Genomic DNA, 21,615 nt, shown 5'->3' on the forward strand with positions numbered 1-21,615 from the left:
GGAGCCGTAGGCAAGTGAGGTGCAGGCCGGGGGGGGGGGCTCGCGTTTCCACACCTCCCCGCGCAGTTCGCTCCTCCCAGGAGGGTCGAGGCAAGGTATCTGGCTGTGACCGGGAGGAGTGCAGATCGTGGCTGACAGAGGAACGGGGGTATTGAGGTTGGCACTAACTCCTGGGATCCCTTTGCTCTAGCTGGTCTCAAAGCGGGCAGGGTAGGACTTAGGCCGTTTCTGGGGTCGCAGTCATGATCTCCAACGCTTGGGAAAGGATTGCCCATAAGGAATCTCATGGGTTTACCTAATTTCCATTTACCCGCGTCCCGCTTCTCCTCTCCTGAGGCCCAGGTTTGAGGTGGTCTTGGGGTCCGTGTGACTATAGGTTCAGGGGATAAGTGTGGGTGGGGGAATTATCCTGAAGGAAGCCAGCCGACTTCGGACTCCCCAGGGGATATTGCCGAAGGCGGAGGGGATGTGACTATCACTTCCTATCCGGGGTGGGGGTGGGGAACTTGGGAACAATAGTCCTGGTGGGGCGGAGGCGACGCTACGGGCCGAAGCCCTGAACTGGGAGATAACCTTCCCAGCGCCCCCCCGCCTCCGCCACCCCCTACTTTCCGCCCTCTGCTTGTGCAGGCAGTCTTGAGAGGAGGTGAAGGTTAAAAGTCTTGTTCATGAAATTGCTCTAGATACACTATTGCTTTAGCACACTGTGAGGGGGTCAGATCCGAAGGCGTGAGACCAGAAGTCGACTTCCTACGTTACCCACCCCCCCAACCCCCGCCCTTTTTATTTTTCTGCTGGACAATGTTCCCTCTAGGGTTGTTTCCCGGCTTAGGAGGCGGTGGTTGCGGCTGCTGCTCCTACGGATATTGCGCAAGACTGGGGCGTTGGAAACCCTGTAGGTCTGGGGAATGAAAAAGGAAGTGGGACTTTGGGAAGTGGTTGCTCCTTAGTCTTGGCGGGGGTTGGGAATGGGAAATAAGCTGGGGAAAATTTTTATCTTGGGTAAGGTACACCTCGAAGAATAATCACTTAATTCTGAAATCTGATTATGAGAAGGATACACAGTTAATGCCTGTAAAATGAATGGGCAGCAAACATTGGCTAGTTTTTATTTTTTGTTTAAAAAGTACAGTAGTTTTTATGGTGGAGGTGATATGACTTAGTAGTGAATACTTTTTCACGTTTTAAAGAGACTGGTCTAGTAAAGCTTTAGCGTTAAATTTTTAACAGCTTATAAAATAGGCCCTTGACCATACACAGTATTATACTAGCATCGTTGAGCTTTGTGATTCCCGCCTCCCCAGACCAATAATAGAGGACGGAAGTAAAGTTTTCTCAGTATCTTTTGAAGATTGAAAATATAAGTTAAATAATCTAACTTATTCCTTATTAAAAATAAAAATATTGCTTATATTTAAACATTTGCTCTTGATATTTAGCCTATGTATTTTTGAAAAATTACTTTTTGATCTGAAAGGGTTAAGGAAAACGGCATTTTCCCTTTTTACTATTGAGAGTTTTTATTGTCTTGGTATCTTTTGAATGGTGTCATTTACAGCAATTGGATGGAGTCCCTTTTTTACTACTTTCTAGCAAAAGTAGAAGAAAATACTTTGAATATTTAAGATGTTTAAAACTAGTTTTTTTGGGTTTTGTTGTTTGGTTGGTTGGTTGGTTGGTTTTTTTTTTGAGACGGAGTCTCGCTCTACGCTCTGTCGCCCCGGCTGGAGTGCAGCGGCGCAATCTCAGCTCACTGCAACCTCTGCCTCCCAGATTCAAGCGATGCTCCTGCCTCAGCCTCCTGAGTAGCTGAGATTATAGGCACGTGCCACCACGCCCGGCTAATTTTTGTCCGAAGTAGCCGGGACTACAGGCGCAAGCTACCACGCCCTGCTAATTTTGTATTTTTAGTAGAGATGGGGTTTCGCCATATTTGCAGGCTGCTCTCGAACTCCTCATCTCAAGTGATCCATCTGCTTTGGCCTCCCAAAGTGCTGGGATTACAGGCGTGAGCCACCATGCCCGGCCTAAAACTAGTTTTTTACCGTCTTACTTTGGTTATGGAAGAAGAGATGGTGTGGTCCCTGGTCATTTCTTGTTTGCATGCTAGTCACCTTGTTATCCCTAGGCATATACCGTCAGGAAGGAGCATTGTTTGGTGATGCGGGCCATCAGGACAGGTTGCCCAGCCTCTGAACTCCTGTACTGGAGAAGTGGCCTTAGGGTTCATGCTTTGGGGATGAGTCAGGGATTCCTATTGGAGAGTTCATTTCTTTCTTTCTTTCTTTCTTTCTTTTTTTTTTGAGATGTAACACCTCGCTGTGTCGCCCAGGTTGGAGTGCAGTGGCTCAATCTCGGCTCACTGCATCCTCCACCTCCCAGGTTCAAGCGATTCTCCTGCCTCAGCCTCCTGAGTAGCTGAGATTACAGGCGCATGCCACCACGCCTGGCTAATTTTTGTATTTTTAGTAGAGATGGGATTTCACCATATTGGCCAGACTGGTCTTGAACTTTCATCTGACTGACTTTGTGATCTGCCCGCCTCAGCCTCCCAAAGTGCTAGGATTACAGGCATGAGCCACCGAGAGTTCATTTCTCCAAGAGTAAATGAGTTTCCTTTTTCTTCCATGATACCTAGGTATAGCTAGGTGATTCTACATTAGAGATTTGATGACTAAGGCTATTCTTTTATAGGGCTTTTTTTTTTTTTAATTTCCTGACTTGATAAGCAATAGCTGTAATTAAGACAGCCGGTAGTTGGTGCTGCTTTTTCCCCTGACTGGAAGGCTGGAGAGGAACTATGTTCTCCTGGCATGGAAAGAGAAAAAAAAGATTAGCTTATAGATTCTATTATTTTTAAATTCTGATGTCGATTAAAAATGCATTTTAAATTCTTAACATTTTATGACTGAGCCTTAGAGATAATGTAGCTGATATAACTGTTCCATCATAAAATAATGTTTATTCCAAATTTGGAAATTAATAGAATAATAATAATGCCTTACACTTAGACCACAGTTCAAATGAACACTCCACTTGCCTGACTGGTGATGATGCTCTTTTCGCTCTATCCAGCTGTCCTACAGTCCTGTCATTTAAAGGCTACCTCTGTTAATATTTTTTGGTTTTGTTTTGTTTTGTTGTTTTGTTCTGTTTTTGAGACAGGGTCTCACTCTGTCACCCAGGCTGGAGTGCATGGTTGCGATCCTGGCTCACGGCAGCGTCGGTCTCCCTGGGCTCAGGTGATCCTCCCACTTCAGCCTCCAGAGTAGCTGGGGCTATGGGCCCACCCCACCAAGCCCTGCTGATTTTTGTATTTTTTGTAGAGACAGGGTTTCCCCATGTTGCCCAGGCTGGTCTCAAACTCCTGGGCTCAAGCAATCCACCTGCCTCAGCCTCAAAGTGCTGGGGTTACAGGTGTGAGCCACCGTAGCCGGCCTACTACTTGGTAACTATCTTATATCTTAATTTTGTTTCTTTATGTTTGAGTATTTAGGTCATTCTACTTTCTGCTGTTACATATAGTAATTCTGTGATTAACATTTTTGCTGAAACTGACATTTTTCACTGTTGCATAAGATAGCTTCCCAGGAGTACTAGGTAGACGTATATAAACATTTAATACATGTTCATAAACTTGAAAAAGTTTTGTCAGTTTATACAACTGTCATAATGTATGAGTGTTCATATTATAATTTTCTTGATCTTTATTTGATGGTTGAAAACTGATATCTTGTTTTAACTTGAATTTCTTGATTACTATTGAGGATAGAAATTTTCCACCTGTCATTACTATTCTATGAGTGTCTATTCCTGGCCTTGGTTGTGCCCCATACTGTTAAAGAGGAGACAGCTAAGGTACCCAGACTGTGCAGAACTATGTTGCCTAGATGGTTATTTGCATGTTGAAAACATGCTAATTTTGCTAATAAATTAGCAAATAGCTAATTTGTGGCTGATCCAGAATTTGATCTCAATTATCTCTACTTTTAATATTTACAAAATGAGAGATAAATGTATAAAGTAGGGTGGTGCACATTCATGTTTGACAGACCTAGGTTTTAACTCCACACAGACTCCCTCTGATGGCTGGGGGTTGGGGAGGTGGTCCTGGACCATACTTTGAGAACCAGTGAGCTAATACATGGTAAATGATAAAGGTAATGCTGGGAAAGTTAGGTAGAGGTCTTTTTGTGAAGGATCTTACATCTATGCTATACTTAGATTTTATTCTACAGACCGATAATAGCAATTCTGGACAGTCTGCATTGTAACTCCTAGAGACATGGAGAAAGTAGGGAGGTGTTAAGAAAATAGACATGCTGGTCCACTCCAGCGTCATTCCCCCATCTCACCTTCTCCAGCCTGCTCCTTGAGTTGTACTCTGAACCTTCACTTACTTAGATAGGTTCTGGTAGAAAAGGTGAGAATCATTAGTCTGGGTTTCTGGAGCACTACTGAGTCTTTTAAGAAAGGTAAACAGTCATTTGTGTTTTACAAAGTTGAATCTGATAGCAGTATGAAGGGTGGCATTTTGGAAGCTGTTGAAATATAAGAAGTGAGATGTGAGGGCCTGAAGTGAACTGAGATGGGGAAATAGAGTGTATACAACACATCTGATAAGAATTAAGAAAGGAGTCTCAATGATTCATTAGATGTAGGTAGTAAAGAAGAAAAGAGTATAGTGTTATGACTCGCAAAATATCTAGCTTGGTATCTGTCACCCAAGCTAGAGAATACCATTTGGTAGAGTAAGGAGTGAGGGAGGAGAAACAAGTAGAGGAGACCAAACAACATTGTAGGAGGAAGTTTCAGGGGGAGAAGAGGATAAATTTAATTTTCAACATGTTAAAACTGCGGTGCCTCTGAGACATCCAGTAGAAATGTAGAGCTCAAGATTTCTGACAGGACGGAGTTAAAGATGTAGGCATCATAATATAAGCATGTAGGAGATAGTCGACAGCATGGGAGTGAATGAGCTTATTCCAACAAACTTATAGAGTGACCAGCTTTAGGTTGAAGAACATCAGTCTTAAAATAACAGCCAAAAGAAGGATATACTAGTGATTGTTCCTGAGAAGGTGTGGTCAAGGAGGAGGGAGGAGAACCAGAGATGTCAGAAAAGCCAGGGAGAGTTTCAAGAAAGGAGTTATTACCAGAGTCAAATAATGCTGGGAGGACCGGTAAGGTGAGGTTGAGAAAGTACCTATTCCATTTGGCACATAGGAGTGCTTTGGTGACTAGAAAAAACAGTTTGGGTTGGGGTATGGGAAGAAGCTAGATTATAGGGTGAAGGGTGGGTTTAGTGTCTTTCCATTTTTTTTAACATTTTGAAAGTAGATGGTAGGAGCTAGAGGAAGATTGGTTGAAGGAGAGTGTGCCCCTTCCACTGCCTTTTTTTTTTTTTTTTAAAGAGAGAACTAGAGAATATTTTTCTTATTATTTCTTGTCTATGTGTATATCCTCTTTAGCCTGGGAAGATCTTATGTTGCAGTCTTGATAAATATAAAAATTTTAATCATTTGTTTATTCAGTGTTGTAGCTTATAGGTTTAAAAAAACTAATAATAGCTTTATTGAGATATAAGTACCTACCATAAGATTTATTCATTTAAAGTCTATGATTCACTAGTTTTTTATTACATTGATGAAGTTATGCAACAATAACCATAATCAATTTTAGGACATTTTCTTCACTTTCTGTACCCATTAGCAGTCACTCCCCGCCTTCCCATAAGCCCCAGGCAACCACAAATCTACCTTCTGTTTCCATAGATTTAAGTATTCTGGACATTTTATATAAATGGAATCATACAATATGTGGTGTTTTGTGACTGACTCCACCTAACATGATGATTTCAAGTTTCATCCATGTTATAGTATTGATCCGTAGTACTTTTGGCCTTTTTATGGCTGAATAATATTCTATTGTATAGATACCACATTTTGTTTATCCATTCATCGTGTTGATGGGTATTTGAATTGTTTCCACTTTTTGGCTAATGTGAATAATGCAGCTATGAACATTTGTGTACAAGTTTCTGTGTGGACACATTTTCAGGTCTCTTGGGTATATATCTAAGTGTGGAATTGCTCAGTCACGTGGTAACACTATGTTTAACATTTTGCGGAACTGCCAGACTGTTATCCAAAGCTGCTGCACATATTACATTCCAATCAGGAATATATGAGGGTTCCAGTTCCTCTACATCTTCACCGATACTTGTTGCTGTCTTTTTGATTATAGGCATCCTACTGGGTGTGAAGTGGTATCTTCTTGTGGTTAGCTTGTAAGATTTTGTGTGTCTTAATTTGTCTTTCAAAGCTAGAGTGATAGGAAATATTTTCCAGTCCTTGCATTTGAGCTAATCTTAGTGCTTACCCAGTGCCACTGGTTTAGTTATGGTTTTCTTATCCATCCTTTGATGAGTATTCACCTAAACATATTTACATCAACTAACTTCAGAAGTGGAAGTGAACTTTTAAGTAACTCTCCAGACATGGTTCACTGAGACAGTAAACTAAAAATTTACTTTAAGCATTCTCAAGAATGTTTTACTTTATTTACTTTCAAAATATATTAACTTTTTTCCATCAATATTTGATATTTAACTTGGAAAAAGGATTTTTAAAGGATGAAACTGAAAGTAAGACATTAACATTTAGGTGGCTGTAGGTTTTTTGTTCATATGTTAAATACTTCTGTGTTTCTGTAGCACTGAGTTCATTAGATTCATAAATATTTACATTTCTGTCTTCCCCAGACTGAACGCCTCCCAGGCTAGAGACTGGGACTTAATTATCCCTGTATCCCCATTGCTTAATATAGTGCTTGGCATTTAATAGGCACTAATGTCCATTGCATGTGCAGACATTGTAGACAAACTTAATGCTGTAAGACAGATTTATTCTTCAGGTGAATTCTTCAGTGGTCCAAGGGTTTGTCTTCTAGACGATCATGAGAACTGCTTCTTCCCCTCCTACACAGATGTGCTCACATAACTCGTTGTATTTTCAGTATCCACTGAAAAAGAAAATACAAGATAAGAGCTACATTGAATTCAAATATTTTAAATAAATATGATTTTATTAGCTGCAGTTTCTTAAGGTAACTTCTGTATTTGTGCATCCCACACCCAATGGATCATACTTTGTTGACATTGTCTTAGAGTATTAATAAAATGTCTTTTAAACTTTTGGCTTTGGACTTAATAAAATCAAGATATCATGTCATCGGTATCTCTTCAAAAATAGTGAATTTGTGGGTATTTAGAGAGTGATTACAAGTGATATCTGTTGTTCTCTACTTGCCTCTAGTTTCTTTCCTCATCCAGTCCATTCAACACATCATACTCACTTTCAAGTGGCAGCATCTGTAGGCTAATGGAAACCATACTGGTTGTACAATCAGGAGATGTGGGCTGCACTGGAAGCATGGTTTAATTTTTATTATTAAAAATATAAGTTAAAAAAACTCATTGCTCCCTTTGATGACCATTACAATTATTGGAAATTTTAAATGTGTATTTTGAAAGTCAATTCAAAACATATGATCCAAGTGCTGCTCCTTTTTCAAACTGTAATTATGTCTGTCTCTCTTTCCAGAGAGATTTGATTCCCTGATTTTTCCCTTCTCAGCTCCCTCCAATTTTAAATATATATATATAGTTTTTTTTAATAATTAAAAAAAAATACTTCACCTGGAAGTTTTCATCCAATTTTGTAACTTTGGTCCTAGTTGAGAATCACAGGCCTATAGGATAAAGTCTGTACTTCTTAGCCTGGCATTCCAGAACCTTCTTAACATAATGTCACAGTACCTTTCCAGTGTTAAACTTCTATACTCTGGTATGTATCCTCTCTTCTTTTTGAAGGAAGCTATTCCTGGTCCTTGAGCATACCTACTAAATGAATGAAATCTTGCTTATCTGTGGTTGTACTGTTGAACATACTTTTTCCCTCAGAAAGCTTCCCTTTTATTTTATTTTATTTTATTTTTTTGAGACAAAGTCTTGCTTTGTTGCCAGGCTGGAGTGCAGTGGCACCATCTCAGCTCACTGCAACCTCCGCCTCCTGGGTTCAAGCAATTCTGCTGCCTCGGTCTCCTGAGTAGCTGGGATTACGGGCGCCCGTGACCACACACAGCTACTTTTTTTATTTTTAGTAGAGATGGGGTTTCACCATGTTGGCCAGGATGGTCTCCCCTTTTATTTTATAAACCAGTACTTGGAAGATGAGAAAGCTAAAAATTTAAAATGACTTCACCATGTTCACCAAAAACTCAGAAGCAAAAATGTGATTAATTCTCACCTTCTAGAATAAATATTTTAGCACAGTTAATCTTAAAGCACTTTTTCTCCTTTGTAAAGTTTGATCTTTAATATCACAAGAAAAAAAGCCTTTCATTAGATTTGAGTTGAAAACTTGATAAGGTAAATCAGGTGATATGCAATTTCTAAACCACTAGTCTTTTCCAAATATGAGTTGAACTCCTCTTCCAGCATTTTATATTTCCTGTAGTATTTAAGTTTCTTTAGATTCATGCAGTCAAACCTTGACAATTATCTCCTTCCTTCTGAAATCACACAAAAATCTTGTTTGCATTTGTACAGTATTGTAGGGTCTGTAGCTGGCCTATGGCAGATATAAGAAGCAAACAGTAGTTGCTCCCTAAAAGTTTTTTTTGGAGAAAGTGGAGTGTGGACTGTATTAGTCCATTTTCACACTGCTATGAAGAACTGCCCGAGACTGGGTAATTTATAAAGGAAAGAGGTTTAATTGACTCACAGTTCAGCATGGCTGGGGAGGCCTCAGGAAACTTACGATTGTGGTGGAAGGTGAAGGGGAAGCAAGGCACCTTCTTCACAAGGTGGCAGGAAGGAGAATGAACATGGGAGGAACTACCAAACATTTGTAAAACCATCAGATCTTGTGAGAACTCACTATCAGGAGAATAGCATGGGGGATTATAATTACATAGGGATTATAATTCAAGATGAGATTTGGTGGGGACACAAAGCCTAGTCATATCGTGGACCATGATAATCTCAGAGGCTTTGGGAAGTGTGCTAATATCTACATTTCCTGTAATAACTTTTATATCTAATCGGCATTTAAAAAGCTATTTTAACAACATTTGAGTGACTGTCCTGATAGGCTCTGAAGGAATGCAAAGATTTGTCTCTGTCATCCATCCATGGTCTCTGTCATCCATCCATGGTCTCTATCATTTATCCATTCATACAGAAGGTATTTATGGAGATACCTGAGTGCCCACTATGCCCTAGGTACTGTGTTTTTGAATTGACAGTTGAAAACATGGCAGTACTCTGTTCAGGAAGTTTACTAACTGAACAGACCTGTGAGAAGCAGCGGGACTTTTCCTGGGGGCAGTGGGTGGGCTTCAGGGGAATCTTTGAACCCTTTTAAATTATATATAATATTTTTTGTGTGTAAGCCCATTTTAGGGGGAAGAAAGTTCATAGCTCTTAGTTTCTCAAGGAGTTTGGGTCCCTTAGACTAGTGGAAAGATAAGGAGTTTAGGAGCTATACAGTCATTAATTTCTATCCTGGCCCTGCTGTGATTCTGAGCAGATTATCTAGAGAAGTTGGGGCTCTAATACCTACCTGGAAAGAACAAGATAATATATGTAAAGTTTCTAACATAGTATATAGAAGGTAGTCAAAGGAATTTGAGATGACATACTGCTCCAGTGGAAGTATATTCGGAATATAAGCCAGAGAGACAGGAGAGCCTAAATCTGTCTGAATAGATCATGGACAGTTTCCACAAAGATGCTACATTTGAGCTGGTTTTTGAAGGAAGAGTTTGTCAGGTGAACTAGGTGAGTAAAAGGCAACAACACTTTCAAAGACTTGGAGATAAACAGAGATAGAACTGTGGGTTTTAGATGGGAAGAACAGGGTCAGTGTGTATAAAATAAGAAAATCTTATGTACCCAAATAATAGGATTTCCAAAGGAATATCAGCTTAAATGCTATTATGAAATTGGCCTGTGTTCCTGAGTGTTTTGATGAGGAGTGTTTTGATGTTCCATTATTATGGCATAGTTGTTTGATCTTACAGTAGGACCTTTTAAAAATTGAGTCCTTGTCACATGGTAAATGTTCTTAAATCTGGTAATTTTACTTTATCTCAGGTATATAAAGTAGTACTCTCTCTGTTTACACAGTTCTTAGATGACTAGATTAGTGTTTCTCATTGGCATCTATCAGATATGTTTAAAGTGCCCTGTAGAAAGAAATTACATTTAAAAAGCCTTCAGGACTAAGGCAGCTTATTTATAATGGTGGGTCTCTTGCTTAGTTTGGATTCCTCAGCGAATTGAGTTTTCCATAAGATGACTCTGAAGAGGTTTTGAGACTGCATTTGTGACCAGAACCAACGTGAGAAAGGAAGGGAGTTCTAGGTCACATGCTACAAAACCATGAAGAATAACTTCTCTAGACACCTTCTTCCCCATTGTGTATGTTGGTTTTACTCCTGACGTCATAAACTCTTTAGTGTTAGAAGGAACATAAAAACTGTTTAGAAATTAAGGAGCTTGTTACAGGTCTTGCCATAGAAAGGTGGTGGAACTGGGTTAGACCCAAGTTAGGAAAGCAGATGCTTTTTATATGACATGATGCTGCTTAGGCCAACATTTTCAGTCTTAGGGAAAAAGTCAATAAAGCCCCACTTCCTACCCCCCTAGAGTAGAGCATAAATATCCTCAAAATTACAAAAAAAGTTTTCTGTCAGTATAGATTTTTGGTTGCAGCCTACTTCCAAAAAGTAGCTTAAGTGAAGAAAGAATTTATTGCAATGGAATACTGCCCTTGAGCAGGTTGAAGCATCAGAACCAAGAAATAGAGAGCCTGGGTGACTCCTCTCTCCATGCCAGCCTCTTTGTCTTTCTATGGTTTTCAAGTTTCCATGTCTCTGGGGCTGCTTGGATACTTCTCTTTGCTTCTCTGCACACCTGCTTTACTATTACCTCTCTCTGCATTTTGACTTTCACTGTTTTGGCCTGCATGTGCTGAATAAAGACATCCCTTATGGTAATCTAACCTGTCTCATTCACTTTTATCTCAAATTATGGAAAGAGCTCAGAATGACTAGAATTGCTACATCTTGTTTTCAATTTCCTGAAGAAAATAACCAACTTGCCAGTGAGATGGGTGTTGTATAAGGTGGTGAGCTTATTCATATGTGTATGGAAGGAAGGAACTTTTTTTAGAGAAAGGAAGGGATGGCTTGATAACTAGGCGGGCAGTCCAAAGAGTGTCTAGTAGAGAATCCTTGAAGCAAAATTGAAAAAAAATTTACTATTTTAAGGTTTCAGCTCCATATGAACTCCACCCACCTTCTTTCAGAGATGGAAAAAGCACAAAGAGTCCTTGTGACTTGAGAGAACAATTTGTTGGCTCTGGCAGAGCATTATTTCACATTTACAGTTAGACATTAAACATCAGGCAAAATTTTAAGGTTTCTGTGTAGCAAACTAAAATTAAGATTATCTATAAGCTGCTTATTTATGGTACCTAAATTTAAATTATAATTTTTCAACATTAAAATATGGAACCTTCTTGCAAGGAAATCCTGTTTTAAAGTTTGGGTTTTTGTTTGTTTGTTTTTTTTTTTTTTAAGAGATAGGGTCCTGCTTTGTCACACAGGCTGGAGTGCAGTGGTGTAATCATAGCTCACTGCAGCCCTGACCTCCTGGGCTCAAGTGATCCTCTCACCTCACTCCTGAGTAGCTAGGACTACAAGCATGTTGCCACCATGTCCTACTAATTTTTTTACCTTTTTTGTAGAGACGAGGTCTTACTATGTTGCCCAGCTGGTCTCAGACTCCTGGCCTAAAGCAATCCTTCCATCTTGGCTCCCCAAGTGCTGGGATTATAGGTGTGAGCGACTGTGCCTGGCCCTAAGGATCACTTTTATCAAAGTAGTCACTATGATTTACTCCCTGATCATATGTCAGAAATATATCACTATCTGAAAAACTAACATATTTTCTTCACAATAGGTTTTGCATTGTTAAAATTATCCTAACTATAGTTCTTTTAGTTCATGAATCATCTAAAATTTATGTGTTACTATATTCATTGTGTTTGCCTGGCTATTAGTGTGCCTGTCTTTGTGCCTGTGTGTCTGCCTGCCTGCCTTTGTGCCTCCCTTTGAAATTCTATTTGCCTACTCACCTTTCTCTACCTACTCAGTCAGTTGGTTGTCTGTGCCCAAGATTTATTAATGTGTGTTAACGTGTGGGTAGTAGAGATAGACTGGAAGGTACTTTGTAGTTTAGAAATGTCTGTAATTTACACCTAGTTGTTTGTAATTCATCTAATACGGTAAATAGATTATACAAGGGGACTTCAAAAAGCTCATGGAAAAATGGAATTAAGTAAATAAATGTTATTTATTAATAAATTTATAAATAGACTAAAATTAAAATATAAAGTTAATTTCTGAACATAAACTCCATCAGTTTACTTTTATAAGTGATGATACACCAACCATTTTGTTTATCCCTAAGAACTGAGGGTCCTAGAAATTTAACCATTTCAATGCAGTTTTTTTACATTATTAACTGAAGAGTAATGAATGCCCTTTAAAGATTTTTTTGAGATTAGGAAACAAAACGAAGGCAGAAGGAGCCAAATCAGGACTGTAAGGTGGATGCCTAATGGCTTCCCATCTGAACTCTCACAAAATTGCCCTTGTTTGATGAGAGGAATGAGCAAGAGGCATTTTTGTGGGTAGAAAAGGACTCTGGTGACGCTTTCTTGGATGTTTTTCTGCTAAAGATTTGGCTGACTTTCTCGAAACACTCTCATAATAAGCAGATGTTGTCTTTCCTTGGCCCTCCAGAAAAATCAACATGCATAATGCCTTGAGCATCCCCAGAAACTGTTGCCATGAGCTTTGCTCTTGACTGGTCCACTTTTGCCTTGACTGGACCACTGCCACCTCTTGGTAGATTGCTTTGATTGACTTTGTCTTCAGGATCATACTGGTAAAGCCATGTTTCATCTCCTATTACAGTCCTTTTAAGAAATGCTTCAGGATCTTGATCCCACTTGTTTATTTATTTATTTATTTATTATTTTTCATTTTGTTTTTGAGATGGAGTCTCGCTCTGTCACCCAGGCTGGGGTGCAGGGGCATGATCTCTGCTCACTGCAGTCTCCGCCTCCTGGGTTCAAGCGATTCTCCAGCCTCAGCCTCCCAAGTAGCTGGGATTACAGGTGTGCGCCACCACACCCAGCTAATTTTTGTATTTTTAGTATAGACAAGGTTTTGCCATGTTGTCCAGGCTGGTCTTGGACTCCTTACCTCAGGTAATCCACCCGCCTTGGCCTCCCAAAGTGCTGAGATTACAGGCATGACAGTTTAACATTTCCATTGAAAGCTCTGCTCTTGTCTGTAGCTATCTGGGTGCAATCATTTTGGCACCAACTGAGTGGCAATTTGTTCAGCTTTAATTTTTCAGTCAGAATTGTGTAAGCTGAGCAACTTAAGATGTCTGTGGTGTTGGCTATTGTTTATGCTGTTAATTGCAGGTTCTCTTCAGTTAGGGCAAGTGACAAGATGAATTTTTTTCTCAAAAATCAATGTGGATGGTCTGCTGCTACAGGTTTCTTCAACATCACGTTGTCCTTTCTTAAAAAGAGGCATCCATTTGTAAGCTGCTGATATTTGGGGCATTGTCCCCATAAACTTTGCTTCACCATTCTTCCATCCAAGCTTTGCCATAAATTTGATGTTTTGTTCTTGCTTCAGTTTTTTAGCAGAATTCATGTTGTTCTGATAGGGGCTCTTTTCAAACTGATATCTTATACTTCTTAGTGCTTCAAATGAGATCCTGTTCATCAGACATGTTATAAGAAGTTAGTATGAGTTTATTTTGGTGCAAAACAAAATTGAAATCCATGCATAGTTTTTTCCATGGTACATATTTTCCATGAACTTTCTGAAGACCCCTTGTATGAATGCCAAGGAGAAACATAGGGTGGGTGGTTATTAGTAATAGGATTTTGCAACTGAAATAATTAAACATGTTCAGATATTTATCTCCACACCCATTCACTGACATTATTAGATGGTGCACAAAAGTAAAAAGTTTATTTTAAAATTACTTTATAATTTAGATAGAAGATTATTAAAATTCATTTTTAAGAAACAGAGTCTGTCTCTGTTGCTCAAGCTTGAGTGCAGTGGCACAATCACAGCTCACTGTAGCCTCAAACTCCTGGACTCAACAGATCCGCCTGCCTTAGCCTCCTAAGTAGATAGGACTACAGGCATGAGCCACTGCTCCCTGGTGGATTACTTTTAAAGTATGTTTTTTTTTTTTTGAAAATGCAACTTAAACTAGAAGTACAGGATGAATATTTAACCAATACATTTAATTTCTTGTCATTGCTTTATTAGATGCTGTTTTTGTATTGTTTATAAGGTCTCAGCATCATATGTATGATATTTTCAAATATGTTCTAAAATGACCTCATCATTTATTTCTCTAGTTGTTAAAGAAGGTATAGAGGTTTTATCATTTTTTAAAATAGGATGTAGGTTGGATTAGATCTATAAATTATTATTTTGCCTTTAAAACAGGTTATAGATAAAAGAGGGAAAGGTAATCTGGTGATACTACTGGGCAGGAATCTTTAAATTATTTAAAGAGGGTGTAAACGAAGGAATGTACAAAAGTAAAAATAGGCAGGGAAGAAAAGACCTGATGGAAGTAACATATCTTTGTTAGGAATTTGAGTGTCTAGCATTATAGTGGACAGTCCAATGATATGGTTTACAACAGTTATATAGGTATTAGACCTGGCCATTACTTACTATGTAATGTTGAGTACATGATTTGAACCACTCTCAATCTTAGCTTCTTTATCGTTAAAACAGAAATAGTTTGTAATGTTTGAATTAGTAAGAATAAAGGACACAGTGTCAGATGTGTCAGAAGGAAGCATGATTAGGGCATTAAGTGAGAAGTTAAATAAATAGGAGGGGAAAAAGGCCACCCCTTGCTCTTTTTCTCTTTTGGACCTTTTTGGTGACAGAGACAGAAAGAATGTGTATAGTATATTTAATTATCTGAAAATACAGAGCTGAGCATCCCTAATCTGAAGTTTAAAATGCCCCTACATCCAAAATTTTTTGAGTGCCATTATGGTCTGAGAGCAGACATTGTGTATGATTGCTGTTTTAAATTTGTTGAGGTGTGTTTAATGGCCCAGAATTTGGTCTGTCTTGTTGAATGTTTCATGTAAACTTGAGAAGAATGTGTATTCTGTAGTTGTTGTCTTAGGTAGTCTATAGACGTGCATTATATATCCAGTTGATTGATGATGCTGTTAAGTTCATCTGTGTCCTTACTCATTTCCTGCTTGCTTGATCTGTCCATTTCTGATAGAGGAGTACGGAAGTCTTCAACTATAATAGTGGATTCAAATATTTCTCCTTGCAGTTCTATCAGTTTTGGCTCACATATTTTTATGCACAATTGTTAGACACATATGGATTAAGGATTATGCTGTCTTCTTGGAGAACTGACCCCTTTATCATGATGTAAAGCCACCCTATCCCTGATAACTTTACTTGCCATGAAATCTGCTTTATCTGAAATTAATAACTAGTCTCATTTTATTTTTGTGTTAGCTGATATATTTTTTTCCATCCATTTGCTTTTAATCTGTGTGTGTTTGTATATTTAAAGTGGATCTCTTGTAGACAGCATATAGTTAGGTCTTGGTTTTTAATCCACTCTGACAATCTTTTAATTGGTACATTTAGACCATTCACGTTCAGAGTGATTACTGATAGCATTGGATTAATGTCTACCATATTTGCCACTATTTTCTGTTGTCATTGTTCTTTGTTCCTATTTTTTTTTTTGTCTTCCACTGTTTTTCTGCCTTTTGCAGTTTTAATTCAAAATATCATATGACTGTCCTTTCTTAGCATGTCAGTTTTACTTCTTTTTTTTTTTACTTTTTTTGTTTTTGGTCTTTTCTAAAGAGACAAGGTGTCGCTTAGTTGCTTAGGCTGGAATGCAGTGGCATGTCATAGCTCACTGTAACCTCAAACTTCTGGGCTCACGTGATCCTCCTGCCTCAGCCTCCTGAGTAGCTAGGACTACAAGTGTGTGCCACCAACCCTCAAGTAATGTTTTTTATTTTTTGTAGAGAGAAGGTCTTACCATGTTGCCCAGGCTGTCAAACTCCTGGCCTCAAGCAATCCTCCTGCCTTGGCTTCCCAAAGTATTGGGATTATAGGCATGAGCCACTGTGCCCAGCTGGGTGTTTTCACTTTTTTAAGTGGTTGCTCTGGCATTTGCAATGTATATTTCCAGCAAATCCAAGTCCATTTTCAGGTAACACTGTACCACTTTATGGATGGTGAGATTACTTTATAATGACAAAGTAACCCTAATTCTATCCCTTGTATCATTGCTGGCATTATCTCACTTACAAATAAACATACACACACAAGCATATATAACCAAATACATGTTTGCTGCTATTCTGAATAAACGTATCAGATCAATTAATAAGAAAAATAAAAGTTTTAATTTTACTTTCATTTATTCTTTCTCTCATTTCTTCTTCCTTTCTTTATGTAGATGTGAATTCCAGACTAGAATAATTTGTCTTCTCTCTAAAAAATTTATTTTAACATTTCTCACAAGGTAGGTCTGTGGCAACAGATTCTCTTAATCTTTTCTGGGGGACAGGGTCTTGCTCTGTCTGTCATCCAGGCTATAATGCGGTGGCATGATCATGGCACACTGCAGCCTTGACCTGCTGGGCTCAACCAGTCCTTTTGCCCTAGCCTCCGGAGTAGCAGAGACTACAGGCATGCACCGCCATACTCACTTAAGTTTTTTTTTGTTTCTGTTTTTGTAGAAACGAGGTCTCACTGTGTTGCCCAGGTTGGTCTTGAACTCCTGGGCTCAAACCATCCACCCACCTCAGCCTCCCAAAGCATTAGGACTACAGGCATGAACCACCTTGCCCAGCCTTAATTTTTGTTTGTTGAGAAAGTTTTTATTTCTCTTTGGTTTTTGAAGGATAATTTTGCAAGGTTCAGGATTCTAAGTTGGTGGGTTTTTTCTTCTCAATATGATATTTTGTCACTCTCTTCTTGCTTGCCTAGTTTCTGAAACAGAGTCAGATGTAATTCTTATTATACTTGCTCCTCTTTAGGTAAGATGATTTTTTTTCCTCTGGCTTTTTAAACGATTTGTTTATCTTTTTTTTTTTTTTGTAGTTTGAAAGTGATATGCCTACATAAGTTATTTCTGGCATTTATTCTGATCAGTGTTCTCTGAGCTGCTTGGATCTGTGGTTTGGTTTCTGACATTAATTTGGGGAAATTTTCAATCATTATTTCAAATATTTCTTCTGTTCCCTTCTTCTCTTTCTGTTATTACCCTTATGCATATTTACATCTCTTGTAGTTGTCCCCACAGTTTTTGCATATTCCATTCTGTTGTTTCAGTTTTTTTCTAGTCTTTTTAATCTCTTTTCAGTTTTGGAAGCTTTTATTGAGATATCCTCAAGTTGAGAGATTCTTTCCTCAGCCATGTCTAGTCTACTAGTAAGCCCACCAACAACATTCTTCATTTTTGTTACAGTTTTTTAAAAAAATCTCTAGCGTTTCTTAGGCCGGGCACGGTGGCTCACGCCTGTAATCCCAGGACTTTGGGAGGCAGAGGTGGGTGGATCGTGAGGTCATGAGATCGAGACCATCCTGGCTAACACGGTGAAACCCCATCTCTACTAAAAATACAAAAAAATTAGCTGGGCGTGGTGGTGGGCGCCTGTAGTCCCAGCTACTGGGGAGGCTGAGGCAGGAGAATGTCGTGAACCCAGGAGGCGGAGCTTGCAGTGAGCCGAGATCACACCATTGCACTCCAGCCTGGGCGACAGGGCGAGACTCCGTCTCAAAAAAAAAAAATCTCTAGTGTTTCTTTTTGGTTATTTCTTTGAATTTCTGTCTCTTTGCTTATATTGATTGCCCATCTATTCTGGCATACTGTCTACTTTATCTGTTAGAGTTCTTAGGATATTAATCATAGGGTGTTTGTTTGTTTGTTTGTTTGTTTGTGTGAAACAGGGTTTTGCTTTGTCTCCCAGGCTGGAGTGCAGTGATACAATCATAGCTAACTGCAACCTCCGCCTCCTGGGCTCAAGCAATCCTCCCACCTCAGCCTCCCCAGTAGCTGGGATCACAGGCATGTGTGAACATGCCTGGCTAAGTTTTCATATTTTTTTGTAGAGAAGGGGTTTCGTCATGTTGCCCAGGCTGGTCTCGAACTCCTGGGCTGAAGAGACCTGCCTACCTCTGCCTCCCAAAGTGCTGGGATTACAGGCATGAGCCACCCAGAGCCAAGGTCTCAGTCTTTTAGTGAGCTTGTTTATGGATTTTGAACTATATCCTGTTTCTCAGCGCCTCACCCCCAGGATGGCTTGAATGACCTGTAGTTGGGTATTTCCCTTACCTCATGTAAATAAGGCTCTGTTAAAACCCCAGCAGGTTAGGCTCAGGTTAAATCATTTCTCCGCAGGGCAGACCTTGTTAAGAAGAATGGAATATTCGGCCAGGCACAGTGGCTCACACCTGTAATCCCAGCACTTTGGGAGGCTGAGGCTGGTGGATCACAAGGTCAAGAGATAGAGACCATCCTGGCCAACATGGTGAAACCCCGTCTCTAATAAAAATTAGCTGAGTGTTCCTGTAGTCCCAGCTACTCGGGAGGCTGAGGCAGGAGAATCACTTGAACCCGGGAGGTGGAGGTTGCAGTGATCCGAGACCGCACCACTGCACTCCAGCCTGGTGACAGAGCAAGACTCCATCTCAAAAATAAAAAATAAAAATACAAAAAAAGGGATTTTCTCTAATACTTACTATGAGAACCTGGTAGAGCTCCTGGAGGTAAAACAAAAATGTGGGGTCCCCTTTGGATTGGGTACACCAGGAGTTTTTGTTTGTTTGTTTGTTTTTGTTTGTTTTTTTTTTAGAGCGGTCTCGCTGTTGTCCAGGCTGGAGTGCAACGGCACAGCCTTGGCACACTGCAGCCTCAACCTCGTGGCCTCATGTGATCCTCCCACCTCAGCCTCCCTAGTAGCTGGGACTACAGATGTATGCAACCACACTTATCTATTTTTAAATTTTTTGTAGAGGTGGGGTCTCACTGTGTTTGCCTAGGCTGGTCTCGAACCCCTGGGCTCAAGAGGTCCTCCCGCTTCCACCTCCCAGAGTACTTGGATTACAAGTATGAGCCACTGCATCCAGCCTCCCCTGGAGATTTTAACCCTCATAGTTGTTCACACTGAGCCTCTAGCAGTTCATCAATTACAGTTCAGGTTTCTTATGGAAGTTTGCTGTGTGAGTGTTTCTGCTCTGATTACTCGTGATTCTCCGTATTCACCTTCTGTCTCTCCAGTTTGGGGGCAGCTGTTTGACCTGTGACTTAACTTCTCTTACAGATCTAAGAAAAGTTGTTGATTTTTCAGTTTGTTTAGCTTTTTACTTGCTCTTAAGATTGAGTGACAGATTTTTTTTTGCATTTTTTTATTGTGATAAAATGTATTAATACAAAACATTTATCATTTAAGTGTACAGTTCTGTGGCATTAGATACATTCACACTGTGCAATTAGGACTCTTAAAAGGAAAAAGTCACATACTGTTAGAAGGGTCATACAAGGCTTTATAGAAAGGATTTTTAAGATGAGCTTCTATATATCAATTAAAAGAACATTTCAGTAGAAACATGGGCGTATGGTATGATAATTACCAGAAGACAAATGCAAATAAGTGCTGAACACAGGAAAAAAATAATCAACCTCTCCAATAATCAGAAAAATTGAAGTTAATCATCATTAACTGTTGGGGGAGTAGCTACCAAATTTGATAAAAACTCAAAAATTCGTAATAATTCAGAAATTGAGAATAGCGGCCGGGCGTGGTGGCTCACACCTGTAATTCTAGCACTTTGGGAGGCTGAGGCGGGCAGATCACGTGAGCTCAGAAGTTCGAGACCAGCCTGGCCAACATGGCGAAACCCCATCTCTACTAAAAATAGAAAAATTAGCTGGGCCTGGTGGTGGGCGCGTGTAATCCCAGCTATTCGGGAGGCTGAGGCAGGAGAATCGCTTGAACCCATGAGGTGGAGGTTGCAGTCAGCCAAGATCACGCCACTGCACTCCAGCCTGGGCAATAGAGCAAGACTCCATCTCAAAAAAAAAAAAAAAAAGAAAAAGAAAAAAGAAAGAAAAAGAAAATGGTAAGGATATAGAAAACTAGTGTTTCTAGGTCCATTAAGGGGAGGGTAAACTGGTGAAGCCTGTTTTGGAAGGCAGTTTGGCCACTTCTAATAGAATTGATAAATGTACATACTCTTTGATCCAGCATGTCAACTTTAGGGATCTTTCCGTAAAAATACTTGCATATGTGCATAAAATAGTATGTCCAAGTATGCAACAATTTTTGTGAAACAACCTAAAATAGCTATTAGTAAGGAGACTTTGCATAACTGGTTACCTAAAAGGAAACAGATGTGGAGGGGAGAGAGTTTGGCTTTTTCATTTTATACCTGTATGCAGAAAAGAGTAACATAGCAGGCCTAAGACTACTATCCTTAGAAAGGCCTGCTTACAATGTTATCCCTTGGCTGGTGTCTGGGAACTTAGACTTTTGGGAGAATTTCCATTATCCCCTGATAAGAGTGGTTCACTGTGCCCAAACTGTACAAACAATGTGGTTTATGAGCTGGGCCCAGTGGCTCAATTGTGTAATCTCAGTGCTTTGGGAGGCCGAGGCAGGAGGATTCCTTGAGGCCAGCTTGGGCCACATAGTAAGACCTCATCTCTACAAAACATTTTTAAAAATTAGCCAGATGTCATGGTGTGCACCTGTGTAGTCTTAGCTACTTTGGGAAGCTGAGGCAGGCAGATAACTTGAGTCCAGTAGTTCAAAGTTGCAGTGAGCCTTAATCATGCCACTGCACTCCAGCATGGGTAGCAGAACAAGACTCTCTCTCTGAAAAACAAAAATAAAAAATAATATGGTTTATGTTGAACATCTACTTTTTTTCTGGGAGTCTGGAATTTTGGTATATTCTTAGGCAGAGTGCCTGTGTAACCAGCCTCCAATAAAAGCCTTGGGCACTTTATTTCTAATGCGCTTCCCTTGTGGACAACGTTTCACACATGTTGTCACAACTTATTTCTGCAGGAATTAGAGGATCGTGTGTAATTTCATTAGAAGAGGATTTTTGAAAGCTTGTGCCTAGTTTCTTCTGGACTTTGCCTCTTGTGCCTTTTTCTTTGCTGCTTTTACTTTGTATCTTTTAGCTGTGATAAATTATAGCTCTGAGTATGGTTATATTCAGTGATATGTTGGATCAGTTGATATGCTGAGTTTTTTACATGTGTGTATTATCTAACCCCTTTATTGTGCACATTTTCCCTTGATGGTAAAACAGTGAAAGCTTTCCTTGGTAACATTGTAGGTGATATAATAAAGAAGTGAATCAAAAAGTGAGTGTCTTTAGGTATGTTATTTAGGACAAGGAGATACTACTTTAGGTAAA

At 39.5% G+C, this 21,615-nt stretch overlaps 1 protein-coding gene across 5 annotated transcripts in view, besides 2 other annotated features; it reads left to right on the plus strand.

The window, feature by feature from the left end:
* PTPN12 (protein tyrosine phosphatase non-receptor type 12) overlaps positions 1-21,615 on the plus strand; it is a 102,775-nt gene that overhangs the window by 656 nt on the left and 80,504 nt on the right. For 3 of the 5 annotated variants that reach the window (NM_001131008.2, NM_001131009.2, XM_017012474.3), the window contains exon 1: positions 93-156. The exons of the other annotated variants lie outside the window; for them this stretch is intronic. The gene's annotated coding sequence lies outside the window, so the exon portion shown is untranslated. Of the gene's footprint in view, positions 1-92; positions 157-21,615 lie in introns of those variants that run through there. 5 annotated transcript variants of the gene reach the window in all.
* Positions 2,018-2,599: an enhancer, noted in NCBI's record as "H3K27ac hESC enhancer chr7:77169285-77169866 (GRCh37/hg19 assembly coordinates)". NCBI's record gives its function as "activates a minimal SCP1, AML or CMV promoter by ChIP-STARR-seq in naive H9 embryonic stem cells {active_cell/tissue: H9 hESC(naive)}" and the evidence as "EXISTENCE:reporter gene assay evidence [ECO:0000049][PMID:30033119]".
* Positions 18,246-18,860: an enhancer, noted in NCBI's record as "OCT4-NANOG hESC enhancer chr7:77185513-77186127 (GRCh37/hg19 assembly coordinates)". NCBI's record gives its function as "activates a minimal SCP1, AML or CMV promoter by ChIP-STARR-seq in primed H9 embryonic stem cells {active_cell/tissue: H9 hESC(primed)}" and the evidence as "EXISTENCE:reporter gene assay evidence [ECO:0000049][PMID:30033119]".

Source organism: Homo sapiens, chromosome 7 (assembly GCF_000001405.40).
Source record: "Homo sapiens chromosome 7, GRCh38.p14 Primary Assembly".
Taxonomy (NCBI): domain Eukaryota; kingdom Metazoa; phylum Chordata; class Mammalia; order Primates; family Hominidae; genus Homo; species Homo sapiens.